The sequence below is a fragment of the Homo sapiens genome, chromosome 8 (assembly GCF_000001405.40).
Source record: "Homo sapiens chromosome 8, GRCh38.p14 Primary Assembly".
In the NCBI taxonomy this organism is placed as follows: domain Eukaryota; kingdom Metazoa; phylum Chordata; class Mammalia; order Primates; family Hominidae; genus Homo; species Homo sapiens.
In genome coordinates this window covers 36,012,659-36,029,629 of record NC_000008.11, presented here as the reverse complement: position 1 = coordinate 36,029,629, position 16,971 = coordinate 36,012,659, and positions in this window count along the sequence as shown.

Sequence of the window (16,971 nt, the reverse complement as noted above, 5' to 3'; positions counted from 1 at the left end):
TTGGTGTATTTACAATCCTTGAGCTAGACATAAAGGTTCTCCACGTCCTCACAAGAGCAGCTAGACACAGAGTGTCGACTGGTGAACTCACAAACCTTGAGCTAAACACAGGGTGCTGATTAGTGTGTTTACAAACCTTGAGCTAGATACAGAGTGCCGATTGGTGTATTTACAATCCCTGAGCTAGACATAAAGGTTCTCCAAGGCCCCATCAGAGTGGCTAGATACAGAGTGTCGATTGGTGCACTCACAAACCTTGAGCTAGACACAGGGTGCTGATTGGTGTGTTTACAATCCCTGAGCTAGATATAAAGACTCTCCACGTCCCCACCAGACTCAGGAGCCCAGCTGGCTTCACCTAGTGGATCCTGCACTGGGGCTGCAGGTGGAGCTGCCTGCCAGTCTTGTGCCATGCGCTTGCATTCCTCAGCCCTTGGGTGGTCGATGGGACTGGGCACCATGGAGCAGGGTGTGGTGCTCGTTGGAGAGGCTTGGGCTGCACAGGAGCCCATGGAGTGGGTGGGAGGCTCAGGCATGGTGGGCTGCAGGTTCCGAGCCCTGCCCTGCGGGAAGGCAGCTAAGGCTCGGTGAGAAATCGAGCGCAGCACCAGTGGGCTGGCACTGCTGGGGGACCCAGTACACCCTCCGCAGCCACTGGCCTGGGTGCTAAGTCCCTCATTGCCCAGGGCCAGCAGGGCTGGCTGGCTGCTCCAAGTGTGGGGCCCGCCAAGACCACGCCCACCCAGAACTCCAGCTGGCCCGCAAGCGCCGCACGCAGCCCCGGTTCCCGCTTGCGCCTCTCCCTCCACACCTCCCTGCAATCTGAGGGAGTGGGCTCCAGCCTTGGCCAGCCCAGAAAGGGGCTCCTGCAGTGCAGCGGTGGGCTGAAGGTCTCCTCAAGTGCCACCAAATTGGGAGCCCAGGAAGAGGAGGCACCAAGAGTGAGTGAGGGCTGTGAGGACTGCCAGCACACTGTCACCTCTCACCTTTATTTTGAGCCTATGTGCATCTTTGCACATGAGATGGGTCTCCTGAATACAGAACACCAATGGGTCCTGACTCTTTATCCAGTTTGCCAGTCTGTGTCTTTTAATTGGGGCATTTAGCCCATTTACATTTAAGGTTAATGCTGTTATGTGTGAATTTGATCCTGTCATTATGATGCTAGCTCATTATTTTGCCCATTAGTTGATGCAGTTTTTTCATTGTGTGAATGGTCTTTGCAATTTGGTATGTTTTTGCAGTGGCTGGTACCGGTTGTTCCTTTCCATGTTTAGTGCTTCCTTCAGGAGCTCTTGTAAGGCAGGCCTGGTGGTGACAAAATCTCTCAGCATTTGCTTATCTGTGAAGGATTTTATTTCTCCTTCATTTACGAAGCTTAATTTGGCTGGATGTGAAATTCTGGGTTGAAAATTCTCTTTAAGAATGTTGAATATTGGCCCCCACTCTCTTCTGGCTTGTAGAGTTTCTGCAGACATCCACTGTTAGTCTGATGGGCTTCCATTTGTAGGTAACCTGACCTTTCTCTCTGGCTGCCCTTAACATTTTTTTCCTTCATTTCAACCTTGGTGAATCTGAAGATTATGTGTCTTGGGTTTGCTCTTCTCAAGGAGTATCTTTGTGGTGTTCTCTGTATTTCTTGAATTTGAATGTTGGCCTGTTTTGCTAGGTTGGGGAAGTTCTCCTGGATAATATCCTGAAGAGTGTTTTTCAACTTGGTTCCGTTCTCCCCATCACTTTCAGGTACACCAATCAAATGTAGATTTGGTCTTTTCACATTGTCCCATATTTCTTGGAGGCTTTCTTTGTTTTTATTCACTCTTTTTTCTATAATCTTGTCTTCTCACTTTATTTCATTGAGTTGATCTTCAATCTTTGATATCCTTTGTTAGGCTTGATTGATTCAGCAGTTGATACTTGTGCATGCTTCACGAAATTCTCGTTCTGTATTTTTCAGCTGCATCAGGTGATTTATGTTCTTCTCTAAACTGGCTATTCTAGTTAGCAATTTGTCTAACCTTTTTTCAAGGTTCTTAGCTTCCTTGCATTGGGTTAGAACATGCTCCTGTAGCTCATAGGAGTTTGTTATTACCCACCTTCTGAAGCCTACTTCTGTAAATTCATCAAACTCATTCTCCATCCAGTTTTGTTCCTTTGCTGGCAAGGAGTTGTAATCCTTTCAAGGACAAGAGGCATTCTGGTTTTTGCAATTTTCAGCCTTTTTGCGCTGGTTTTTTCCCCATCTTCTTGGATTCATCTACCTTTGGTCTTTGATTTTGGTGATATTTGGATGGGGTCTCTCAGTGGACACCCTTTTTGTTGATGTTGATACTATTCCTTTCTGTTTGTTAGTTTTCCTTCTATCAGTCAGGCCCCTCTGCTGCAGGTCTGCTGGAGTTTGCTGGAGGTCCATTTCAGACTCTGTTTGCCTGGCTATCACCAGCAGAGGCTGTAGAACAGCAAAGATTGCTGCCTGTTCTTTCCTCTGGAAGCTTTGTCCAGAGGGGCATCCTCCAGATGCCAGCCAGATCTCTCCTGTATGATGTGTTTCCTAGTCAGGATACCTGGAGGTCTGGGACCCACTTGAGGAGGCAGACTGACCCTTATCAGAGCTCAAACACTGTGCTGGGAGATCTGCTGCTCTCTTCAGAGCTGGCAGGCAGGGACGTTTAAGTCTGCTGAAGCTGCACCCACAGCCGCCCCTTCCCCCTGGTGCTCTGTTCCAAGGATATGGGGGTTTTGATCTATAAGTCCCTGACTGGGGCTACTGCCCTTTTTTTTCAGAGATGCCCTGTCCAGAGAGGAGGAATCTAGAGAGGCAGTCTGGCTGCAGTGGCCTTGCTGAGCTGCAGTGGGTTCCGCCCAGTCCGAACTTCCCAGCGACTTTGTTTACACTGTGAGGGTAAAACCGCCTACTCAGCAATGGCGGACAACCCTGCCCCCACCAAGCTCAAGCGTCCCATGTCGACCTCAGACTGCTGTGCTTCCAGCGAGAATTTCAAACCAGTGGATCTTAGCTTGCTGAGCTCCATGGGGGTGGGACCAGCCAAGCCAGACCACTTGGCTCCCTGGCTTCAGCCCCCTTTCCAGGGAAGTGAATGGTTCTGACTCACTGGTATTACAGGTGCCACTGGGGTGTAAAAAAAAAAAAAAAAAAAAGCTCTTGTAGCCTGCTCAGTGTCTGCCCAAACGGCTACCCAGTTTTGAGCTTGAAACACAGGGTCCTGGTGGCATAGGCACTGGTGGGAATCTCCTGGTCTGCCAGTCGCAAAGACCATGGGAAAAGCATAGTAACTGGGCTGGAGTGCACCGTTCCTCCTGATACAGCCTCACACGGCTTCCCTTGGCTAGGGGAGGGAAATCCTCTGACCTCTTTCACTTCCCAGTTGAAGCGATGTCCCACACTGCTTCGGCTCACCCTCCATGGGCTTCATCCACTGTCCAACCATTCCCAGTGAGATGAACCAGGTACCTCAGTGGGAGATGCAGAAATCACCCGCTTTCTGTGTCAATCTTGCTGGGAGCTGCAGACCAGAACTGTTCCTATTCGGCCATCTTGCCAGCCTGATCAGCTCAAATATTTCTTTATAGCAATGTGAGAAGAGACTAATATAGTGTTCAAAGATATTTATAATTATTATGTGTCCTCATTGTCTGAGAATGATTAATTCAGTCTAAACTTCTATTACAGATGAAGAAATAGAGTCCCAGATAACTTAAATAATTTATACAAAACAATGTACTGGCATTAGATTATAAAACTTGTCACATTAAGATTATTTTGTACTATTGAACCAGTGTGTAACGAATCTGTTTTCAGTGGTGACAGAATTTTAAAAATACCTGTTTTCTTATTACTAATAATTCTTAATTAATTGATGATATAATCAACAAAACACTTCTCTCTTGCTTTAGTAATGAGAATCCTATGAACATATTTTCTTTCTCAATTTCCTGTAACTTGAAATTGAGAAATTGATAGGGTTATATTGTATTTGGTAAAGTATGAGATATCTTGCCAGTGTGGCATGAATTTGAGAAGACCCAAGTCCTATCATTTCACAGAATGAACTTGTCCTTGACTTTTTTGTCTAATAATAGTGTATATTGCCATTAAAATAAGTAGATGACTTTAAGCCTCCATTCAAAATGTGCCCCTAATTTACTTGCATTTATAGATTTGATTTAGTCAGTGTATCGATTAATTCTGTAACACCATCAACTGCTTCTCCCACCAAACTGACCATTAGAATAACCAAATTAAACAGACCATTCAAGGTGGCAAATTTTGGTGATTTTGGTTATACAGGAACTCTCATTGGTTCTTAATTTTTTAGTTTGCTTAAGAATCTTTCCAATCTAGGATTAGGATTCTGAGATTGCTTGTTATAGTTTCTGTGCTTATGATCCTTCCATATCCATCTGGCCTGAAATGAATTTTTTGAAATCTTCTCTTGCTGATGTGTTAAGCATGAACTATAAAGAGAAAAAATAATTTCATATGGAGAAATACTGTCAAGGACACATAACTTTATCTTTCTGATGAAACAGAAATTTTCCACTAAAAGTTCAATTCCTTCCGTACCCTCCTTAACTAAAACATTGAATAGAATCCTGAAATTTAAGAACTGGAAAAGAGCATAGAGATTATTTGATCCCAAGCCCTCATTTTGTAGATGTCTTAGGATATAGGAGAAAAAAATAAAAATGAGCAAGTTAATTTTAGGGACCTGAAAAATAATTTAATCACAGGATGTTTTTGGTTTGGCTCTAGGCCCAAAACATTTCATTTGATTGTGACTAAGACACATTTTCTTCTCACTGCTCTATTCTTCAGGCAGAGGCAACTAAGTGTTAATTATGATACAGTCCTTGATGGTTACTGTATCCTTTTTCCAAATGACTTTTACTGTTGTTTGGCTGCCAGCTAAAGATGGCCTTGTGATCTTAACATATTTTCAATGACTGTTCTACAAGAAATGTTTATATATTCCTAAACTACTGTGCTTATTCAGCTGTCAAGCTTCAGCTTTGTATTCTTCTCCTTTTAATGCTCTTCTCTTTTAAAAAAATCAGTTCCGAAAGACAAAAACTGAAAGCCCTTCCTAGATGCTGCAACTAAACCTGCTGGTTTTTTCCCTGTGTGTCCTTGATTAAGTCAGTTAAACACTTTGAATTTTGTCATCAGTAAAATGAGGACAATAACATATACAAAATGGGAAAATTATAAAATGGAGGCAGGCTTTCTAAATATCTGTTAGTTGTCATTACTCTTATTTCTTATTGTCAATTAGAAATGTTTTCTTTGAGGCCGGGTACAGTGGCTCATGCCTGTAGTCCCAAAACTTTGGGAGGCCGAGTCGGGCAGATCACTGAGGTCAGGAGTTTGAGATCAGCTCAGCCAACATGTTGAAACCCCGTCTCTACTAAAAATACAAAAATTAGCCTGGCATGGTGATGCGTACCTGTAATTCCAGCTACTCCAGAGGCTGAGGCATGAGAATCACTTGAACTTGGGATGTAGATGTTGCAGTGAGCTGAGATCATGTCACTGCACTCCAGCCTGGGTGACAGAGCTAGACTCTGTCTCAAAAAAAAAAAAAGTAAAATAAATGTTTTCTTTGGGCTGGCACCCCTGCATGCCCGGCCCCCATCTGGTTTTTCTCCCCTGCTGACTACCTGAATGCTACATGCTCTGCTAGGAAGTGACTGCCCACGAAATCACAAATTCTCCCTTCACTTTTTCTGTCCCTCTCTTTCATTTGTAGGTCTTCTAATTTTGAGCTGGTTCACTTTATTATTTCTTCTTTCACACAAGCATAGCCAGACTGACCTCACCCCACACGTGTTCAACTTTGTTGAGTACCTGCTTTGTGCTAGGTGATTTCACATATAATATCTCCTATAACCCTCAACTAAATCGGCAAAGGAGATGCTATTGTATTTCATAAATGATGACCAAGCCTCAGAGATATTAACTGACTTGCCTGAGGTAATTCAAATGCAAGTGTCAGGGTCAGCATTTGAAGCTAGCTTACCCCAACAGGTCCCTCAGAGTTGTAAGGAAGTTGTTGTTTTGTTGGTCCAACAGGGCCAATGTGTTAAACAACATTTGGCCCTCTTTTAACAGCTATCAGCTAACATTATGCCTCTGTAATAAGCTCAAAATTTATCTTTAACCAAAGGAAAGTTAGTTCCTATACCTCATTCTCACTTTAAGATAAAATCAGACAGATTATACACTTTGTCTATACAAGAAACATCTGAAAAAATAATACCTGAAATTTACAGAAAAGTACATTAACACAGATGATGATCATGCAAAGCAGTTTAAGAGAAGTTAGCTAGAATGAGAATTTAAGCCTGTTCCACTGTTGTGTGATGTCACCAGCCAGTACTGAAAGAAGTTTACGTTCACGACCTAATATCTTAATAATGGCTTTCTTCATTCCCCAAACAAAAAGGTAATCTAATTTATAAAAGTGGTGTTTTCCAATCAACACAGGGTAAAAGGTATATGTTCAGTAATTCTCTGGCAAATCATTTTATTATATTCATAGAAATGCATATTTTATTTCATATTAAGTAAAACATCTTGGCTAGCTTCAATTCCTTGATCCATAGAACTCAAAAGGGAGCAACCAGGATGAGGGCTCAGCTGCCGATATCCCCAAGTCCATTGTTAGGAGTCAAGTGGGAATTTCATGGACTCAAGTGATACTGCTCCTCTTTCATCACTGAGGTTTCTATCAGCAGAAATCAAGAAGTAGCCTGTGCACTTGATGCGAGACTGTTTCTTTGTCAGCTGGCTAAGATGAAAGGAATCACATAAATTCAAAATTAGACCACTGTGTTGTCAAGACCTCCAGTCACTTCCCAGGCTTTTCTTTCACTTTGGTTACTACTCAATCCTCTTTGCTGGTGTTCTTCTCTTCTCCCTATTATTAAGATGTGCAGCTCTCTGTCCTTGCACCTTTTCCCTTTTTAATGTTAGTCACTCTTTTGGGTACAACATCCTGTAACATGACTATACATACAATCTTTACACTAGTAACTCCCAAATTAATATACCAGCCCCATTCTGTTTCCTGAACTTCATACTTACTCTACTGCCTACTCAATATTTTCATTTGGATTGATCTGAGGCATCTCAGACTTAACAAATCCTAACCTAGATTCCTGCCCTCCTTGCTCCATGAAAGAACTCAATATACAAAATGACCCCCAAATGCTGAACAAGTTTGAAAACCAAAGAACAAGGCAGCCACGTCCAGTTTGTTGGTAACGGATGTTTTACTGGGGAACTTACAGAAGCATGGTCTTGGGCAGCTGCAAGACAGATAGGGCTCTGCACCCATTACCCCCAGACCCAGGGCTTATGTACCATATGGAAAAAGTATATGTGCTCCAGGAAGATAATGAAAGGCAACTCTCCAGAATAGGCAAGACTGCTATTAATACATGCGTCATAGCCTGTAATGTGTGTGGTAACATCAAGGTTGAAACATTGTTACACTAAAGACAGGAAATAAAGGAGAAATCAGGACTGGGGCTAATCAGAAGCCAACATGGCAGATTAGCATCCAAGATGGAGTCACTTTTGTCTCCAAACCCCTCTAGTCCAAACCTACAGTTTCACAATGTCCCTCCCACCCACGCTTCAGATAATGATGCCTTCATTCTGTAAGACGTCAGGGCTACATTGGTGAGGAAAAAAAGAGAGTTCTGTTTTTGTGGAAGTTATAAAACACAGAGACAGATATTAATCAGATAACCCTACACAAATTATGTAATTATGATTGTGCTAAGTGTTTTGGAGGAAAGAAGGCAGCTTGAGAGAACATTTAAACCTGACATAGACTTGAAGTCAGTAAAACAATGAAAGAAATGTCATTTGAACTGTGATCAGAAAGATGAGTTGTGAGGAAGATTTTCAGATGCAGGAAATAGTACATGCAAAGGCTCTGTGGGAGGAAGAGCATGGAATTTAAGGGGACCTGCATAGCTCAAGTAACATGCAGAGGGTGAGAGGAAGAATAGTGAAATAATAGGGCAGAGAGGTTTGCAGATACCTTTTACATGTTAAGGATTTGGGCAATGGGCAATTTTGACACATGATTCTGAGTAGTGTTACTGAGATTTGTAGGAGATCTGAAGTCATGTTATTCAAATACCTTCCAACAAACTATTCAAATGCTGTTTTCTAGTGTTTGAATATTTGCCATGAGCTATAGTTCAATGTAAACACTTTAACCAAGGAAGTGCAAAGAGAGGAAGATGTTTTTGTGGAACACCAACACAAAATGAGAAACTGATTTGAAATCTGAATTAGCAAAAACAATATGGATTTCATGGCAAAACCAAAATCAGGACAAGTAGACAGAATACTTTCATTGATAAAAAGGAAAATAGACATATATGAAGAAATATGTACCTTAATGACAAATTTGAAATGCTTCTGGATGAATTCTTAAAAATTTGACCACAAATGAACAAGGTAAGAAATTTTTTTACATTTACAATATTTGACATGAAAGAAAGGTCAAGACAGTTATAAGAAAGGACAATTAGTACTGTGTCTTTTTAAATTTAAGAATAACTCTTAACTATTAAATGCTATGGTTTCATTTTTCCATTTTAAAATTATTTTTATTTGACATTTATTTTCTGTTGATGTTCCCCTCATTTAATTTTTTTCTGCTCCCAAATGCCTTTATCAGGCAGAAGTTACTTGTACATGCTATTAAAATACTGACTCTTGTCACAATATTTGATTCATGACAATAATAAAGTAACCATTTATTATTATACCTTTATAGGATACCTCTGAAACAGTATATTCATATCACAGAAAAATAATGCACTATTTATTATTATGGGTACTCATTATTATTAAATATACGTAAATATTGTTGTTACAAAGCATTATTACCACCTCTCCCTAAAAAAACACATAAATAAACTGTTGTACATAATAGCTTATGATTTCAGGATTTCTAAGGAGTTCTCAGAAATTCTGATTTCTCATTCTCAAATCACGAAAATTACTATCTGTCAGGAACTTGGAAACACTAACAGAAGTGAGAGAAAGGAATGGTAGTATCTTGAACAATAGTGGTAGCAATGGAGATGGAAAGAAATAGACAAATTAAAGAAATATCTAGGAAGTAAAATTCATAGGAGTGGTAGAATAACTAGATGTGGAGAATGAGCTACAGAAGAGTTTCAAGAATAACTTCTTGTTTCTGTTATTGTGATGGTGAATGCCATTCATTAAGATAGAGACCATTGAAAGAGGACCAATGTATCAGTGAGGATAGACTGAGCTATGCTTAAAAAACAAGCATCACCCAATTACTGCTGATGTAAACAATAGAGGTTCAGAGACAGAAAGCAGAGTAGTGGTTCCTAGAGCTAGAGCTGAGGTTGAGGGAAAGACAATAGGGGAACGAGTGCTGATGTGTATAGTTTCTTTGCAGGGAGGGGGTCGGTATTTAAAATGTTCTAAAATTAGATTGTGGTGATAGTTGCATAACCCTGATTACTAAAAACTACTGAATTAATTTTATGGCATGTGAAATATATTTTAATAAAGCTTTCGTTCACTTCTCATTCACACTATATGTTGATTTCAGGCAAGACAGGGGATCTGCTCAGTGGCATATTCACTTCAGAACTAGGCTTATGGTTTTTGGACCATCTGAAATGTTGATTTGTTTGGGGCAGGGTGCATGAAGAGAACATGACAAAATTCACAGAAGCTTTTAAAAGCTTATACTTGGAAGTAATTAATGTCATTTCTGCTCATATTGTATTGGCCAAAGCAAGTCATGTGACAAACTTCAAGGTCAAAGAGAAGCACAATCTTATCAAAAAGAAGAGATCTAGAAACACACTAATGACTACTAGCACCAGGATTGGGGAGAAGGAGAGATCGAGAGTTCCATTGTAGACATGTTGAATTTGAGATGCTTTTAAAATAACCAGAGAAATATATTAAGTAGGCAGCTAGTTTGTGAGACTAGGAGCTTAGAGGAGCCACTGGGCTTCTTTAGAAATAGATGAGGTGGTCATTGACATATAGGTGGTTATTTAAAATCATGAGCATGGAAGAGATTGCAAAAGTAAATGTCATCTATAGATATCCTATAAGGCACACATTTCTTTATACACAGATACACACACACATCCCATTCTATCATGACTTCTCTCCTGAGCCATCTGGAATTACAACTGCTAAGAGCAATAGGGAAGATGTCATACTTTCTTTGGAATCTTAGAAATATTGAAGGTGACTAGAAGGCAATTGGTATTTTATGTCTGTCATTTTTTATTCAAAAGGCTACCGGCTCAATGAAACCCCTGACATGACATATACTCTCTTTGCCTTTCAATTTCCATAACACTTTATTTAGCTTTCTTTTATAATATACTTCATACTCTCCTTCATCATTCAATGTGTTTATATGCTTGTTTTATTCCTCCTACTAAACAATACATCTCTTGTTGAGGTCTGTGTTTTAATCTTTTTTATAGTCATCATAACACCTACCACCATACCTTCTACAGGGTAGTACAAAACAAAAAGAGTATGTTTTATAAATATGTTTTCTCAAATAAACTATAAGCTCTGTAAGTACAGATGATGTGCCCATTGTATCTTTGTGTTTTGATTTCTGTCTAGCATAGTGGTTTCCATACAGTTGGTGTTTGATAAATGTATTGATTGATGGATTAATTCAGAGAGAAATTAGAAGCCTTTGGCACATTATTTTAAGAGATTATTTAGGTTGCTTTCAGGTGAAAATATTTGTACAAAAATGTTTGGTGTATGTCCTTCACGTCAATGCAAACTTACATATTCAAAGCTATTAGCTACTACTAAGCACAGAACCAAAAATAAAGCTGGGCACTATGGTTCATGCCAGTAATCCCAGCTATTCAAGGAGGCTAAGATGGGAGAATCACTTAGGGCCAGGAGTTCAAGACCAGTCTGGGCAATATAATGAGACTTCATCTCTACAAAAAAAAAATTCAAAATTAGCTGGGCATGGTGGTGTGTGCCTGTAGTCCCAGCTACTTGGGAAGCTAAGATGGGAGGATTCCTTGAGCCCAGGAGTTTGAGGCTGTGAGGAGATATGATCATGCCACTGCACTCCAGCCTGGCTTATAGGATGAGACCCTGTCTCTACAATAAATAAAAATTTTAAAATAATTTTGCCTTCTCTGTCTATGATGTCTCAGACAAGTTATTGTTTTGTAAGGCATATTATTCTCTACATGGTATTCTATGTCTATGGAATTCCATATTCAAAATGTCATAGCAATTCTCAAATCATTTATTCTCACAGGTTAATTTTTTTCAAAGTAAATATTGAATATATTCATTTATCTGTTATATGCACATGTACATATATGGTCCTCTGTATTCTAATACGATTTTATTTAAAGGATCACTAGGAACTTAATAATTTACTAACATTTAAAAAAATATGATCATACAGACCCCATATAACAATATATGTAATTTAATAATGTAGCACATGTATAATTATAACTGATAATAATAAGTCAAGAACATAGCAACATAAGAAGATGCATGTTAAGGTAAAACAACTTTCCTTATAAGCATTATTATAAAAATAGCATTAATCTGACACAAAAATGATATGAAACAATGGTATAAAAATAAAGACACAAATCTCTGAGAAAAATAATAGATAATATATGTAGTATCTAAACCAATTGGTTAAGAAAACTAGCGAGGGGGTTCAGTTTTATTTGCATATTGTACAAAATTTACAGAGCCAAAGTCTAGAGACCCAGTGATATGGTCTTAAAGACATAAAACTAATTCAGTGAGTTAGGAATTGTTGCATAATATTCCAGGCCTACTAATAAGTCAGAAATTAATTCCCACCACAAGTGATCCTTCCAGGACAGACTTTTTCTTTGATTTGTACTGCTTTCTTTATTGCTTTTTAAATCCAATATAAATTACTACATATGAATTAATATGTAAGTTTATATAATAAAACATGTTTTAAATATACGAATACGTAAATATATATATATAAGTAACATATAATACAAATAAATATGCATAAGTAACTATAGCTACCAAGAACAAGCTTACCATTGTAAATTCAACAGCATTGTAGATCCCAAATAGCAGGGAGGTGGGAATTGAGGTGAACAGTGTTTAAACAAATTCACGAAACACAATTCTTAACAATGCTGAATTTTGCTTTGGCTTTCTTTTTGAAATCACGCTTCAGTGAACTACTAAAAATCTTGATCGAGCACTTACTATGAAGCAGTTACTGGTCTATGTTACATAAATGAAAACAATACAGCTCTTGCTTTCAAGGAATTTAGACCCTTAGTGTTGGGTCTTTGCTTTCACTAAAGACTTCAAAATTCTAGTTCTTATTTCCTTACAAAATACCAGCCCCACACCCCAACAGACAGTGAGTTGACTTGGCAAAGTGGATAAATGCTGACTCATTTGGGAAGAAGACAGTCTGAAGTGAGGCTGTCATCCTTGAATGTGCAGTAATAACCAATGGCTATAACAATCCCAGCAACAGATTAGCTCTGTCACATTTAATTACCACAGCTTTAACACAATGGAAAAAAAAAGTGCCTTCCCTTTTTTCACACATAAGCCCACCCAGCTGATATCTCCTGAATGCCTTAGCAAGGCCCTCCAGCACCCACCAAGACCTCCAGTCACGTAAAATAAACTGTAATGAAACTAGCTGCTAAACTAAGCATGATAATCCTAGCCCTTGAGATTTATTTATGCGAGTGAGGCATGAACTAATTCCCAATCAGATTCTAGCTCAGCATTTGCTGCTGAAAAAAAAATCATTTCCAATTACCAACAATATCTAAAGAGAATCATACACCTCTTTACATCCACATGCATACACAGAGTAGACAGAACATACGCGTTTACAGATGTTATTCCTGAATTGAAGCAGAGATCTATTGACCGAACAGATCAATAAATGCCATGAAAGTGAATCTTGACAATGGATGTTTACACTAAATTAGAAGGCAGAATTAAGGCTGACACCTTAAGGCTCAAATACGTTTATTTCCTTTGGTAAATGCACCTTCCCAGTGCCCCCTGTCTTGCCCTCCCTGAGACAAATGCTGGTCTCCTTTCTATCATGATAGATTTGTTTTCATTTTGTAGAATTTTATACAGATTCATACTGCATATACTCTTTTTTTCCTAGCTTCTTTCACTCAGTATAATTATTTTAAGATCCATCTATGTTGTGTGTATCTGTAATTCATTTCTTTCTATTGTTGAGTAGTATTCCATTGTATGTAGCTCTCACAGTATATTCACATGTTATTCACATGTTGGACATTGGGTTGTTTCTAGTTTTTGTCTTTACAAATAAAGCTGCTATAAACATATAGCTCTCATTTTTTTAGGGAAAAAATCAAGGAATGGCTGGTAGTAATGTAGGTATATGCTTCACTTTTTCAAGAAAATTCTTAAATTTTCCAAAGTGGTTACACTGTTTTATATTTCCACCAGCAGTGTATGAGTTCTATTTCTTCCATGTCATTATTAACATTTAATATGATCATTCTATAATTTTAGTCATTCTAATAGATATCTAGTGCTATCTCATTGTGTTGTTAATTTGCACCTCTCAAAAGACTAATGGCATTTCATGTGCTTGTTTGCAAGCTCTATATTATCTTTAGGTATGGATCTGTTCATATCTTTTGCCTATCTTGTAATTGAGCTTATTGAGCTTTTGCTTATTGTAAAGTATTAAGAGTTCTTTCTCTATTGTGAATGCAAGTCCATCAAATATATGATTTTCAAATATTCATCAGACATTTTTTCCCAATGTGTGGTTTGGCTTTCCATTCTGTTAACAATGTCTTTTGCTGAGTAAAGTATTTAATTTTGATAAAATCTTATATGTAAACCTTTGTTTTATGTATCATGTTTTTGGTGTCATAGCTAAAAAAAAAAAAAAAAAAACTTTGCTAACCCAAGGTCACAAAAGTTCTATTCTATGTTTTCCTCTAGAAATGTTATAGTTTTAGGTCTTACATCTTAATTTAGGATCCTTTATTTTATTTTATTTTTTTTGAGATGGAGTCTTGCTCTGTCTCTCAGGCTGGAAGGCAATGTGCAATCTTGGCTAACTGCAACCTCCACCTCCCAGGTTCAAGCAATTGTCTTGCCTCAGCCTCCTGAGTAGCTGGGATTACAGGTGTCTGCCACAATGCCCAGCTAATTTTTGTATTTTTAGTAGGGACAGGGTTTTGCCATATTGGCCTGGCTAGTCTTGAACTCCTGACCTCAGGTGATCTGCCCGCCTTAGACTCCCAAAGTGTTGGGATTACAGGTATGAGCCACCATGCCCAGCCTAGGATCCATTTTTAGTTATTTTTTTGTATATGGTATGTAATATACAGAGGCATTCTTTTTTTTTTTTTTACTTTTTAAAATATTTTACTTTTGTTTTTTACACATGGATATCCAGCTCTTTCAACATTAAGTGTAGAAGAGACTTCCTTTTCTTTACTAAATTATGTTTGTACCTTTATTGAAAATTAGTTATCCATATATGTGTGGGTCTATTTCTCAACTCTATATTCTGTTTTGTTGATGTATGTGTCTATTTTTACACCAATTCCACTTTGTTTTGATTACTGTGGCTTTAGAATAACACTTAAAATCAGGCAGTGTTAGTCTTCTTTGTTTTTCTTTCTCAACGCTGTCTTGGCAACTCTAAATCCTTTGCAGTTTCAAATTATTTTTAGAGTGTAGACATTGCTTCTGTGATTGATTTGTAATTTTAATTTCATTTTGGTTAGAGAGCATACTTTGCATGGCCTCAGTTATTTTAAATTTGTTAGATTTGTTTTGTTAGATAGAGTTTTGTTTTATAGCCTAGATTATGACTTACATGGATAAATGGTTCCTATCTACTGGAAAATATAAGTGTTCTTCTGAGTGAAGGGTTCTATAGATATTAATTAGATAAAGTTACATATGGGGCTGTCCAAATATACATTTTTAGTTAATTGTTTGTCTACTTGTTTAATAAATTATCAAGTAAGGGGTACTAAAATCTCCCACTATAACTGTGATTTTTTTTGTTTCTCCTTGTAGTTGTATCAGTTTTTGCTTCACTTGTTTTGTAGCTCAGCTTCTAGATTTATAAACATTTAGGAATATTATGTCATTTTAATGAATTGACTCTTTCACCATTATGAAATAAATTCTTTGTTCCTGGCAATATTCTGGGCTCTGGTATCTGCTTTGCTTGATATTAATATGGCCACTCCACTTTAATTAGTGTTAGGATAGTATATATTTCTCTATCCTTTATTTTTATGCTATTTATATTTTTATATTTAAATTGCATTTCTTCTAGACAGAAAATAATTGGGTCTTGCGATTTTCTTTTTACATCCATACTAACAATTTTTGCCTTTTAATTTGGGTATTTAGACCATTTATATTTAATGTGACATGGACCATTTATATTTAATGTGATTAATTATATAGGTGAGTTAAATCTGATATCTTGCTATTTGTTTTCTATTTATCTCATCTGTTTTTTGTTCCCTCTTTCCTCTTTTGTCTGTCTACTTTTAGATTAATTGGATTTTAAATTTTTATTTCATCTCTATTGTTGGCTTAGAAGCTATCTGTATCATATTTATTATTCTAGTGGAATTTATAGGGTTTCTACATTGTTAATGTATTATGTTCCTCCTACAAGTGATATTACAACATTTTACCTATGGTATAAGAACCTCACAGCTGCATACTTTCATTTCTACTCTCTTGACTTTTGCAATATTGTAGCTATAGATCTTAATTCTACATAAATTATAAACTACATATTGTGTTGTTATTTTGTTTAAATGGTTTAAAATTATGTTTTAAAGGTATTCAAATAATAATAAAATATTTTATATTAATTCACATACTTAGCATTTCCACCAGTCTTCATTCCTCTGTGTAAATTTCATATTTCTGTTGCCTATCATTTTTCTTATGACTACTGTAATATATATATATAAATACACATACACATATAATATTGCAAAAGTCAAAAGGGAGAAATGGGAGTATGCAGTTTTGAGGTTCTTATACTATAGGTAAAATGTTTAATATTGGTTGAAAGAAGAGTAATACAGTAACAATGTAGAAACCCTATAAATTCCACTTTCAAAAAAATATTTCACAGTAGTAGTCTGCTTGCGATAACTTCTTTCAGCTTCCATATATCTAAAAAAATACTTTTTTCCATTGTTTTTGAAAGAAAAGAAAATTATTCTGGGCATAGAATTCTAAGTTGAAGAGTTTCTTCCTGTAAAGAACATTGCTTCACTATCATCTCACTTACACTGTTTCCAATAAGAAATTTGCAATAACGTTTATGTTTGTTACTCTGTATGTAACATCTTTTTCCCCCACTGAATCCTGTTTAAATTTTCTCTTTTTATTTTCTTTGAGATGGAGTCTCACTCCATCACCCACGCTGGAGTGCAATGGTGCAATCTTGGCCCACTGCAACCTCCGCCTCCCAGGTTCAAGCAATTCTCGTGCCTCAGCCTCCTGAGTAGCTGGGATTACAGCCTCGCACCAACATGCCTGGCTAATTTTTTTTTTTTTTTTCTTTAGTAGAGACATGGTTTCACCATTTTGGCCAGGCTGGTCTCAAACTACTGACCTCAAGTGACCCACTCACCTTGGCCTCCCAAAGTGCTGGGATTATAGGCATGAGCCACCACACTCGGCCAATTTTCTTTTTGTCATTGGTTTTGTGTTACTTGAATATGATCTGTCTGGTGTGGTTTTATTTGTATTTCTTGTGCTTGATGTTCATTGTGTTTCTTGGATTTGTGGGTCTATAATCTTCATAAAAATTTAAACACTTTCATTATTATTTTTTATTTCTTTTGCTTGCCTAT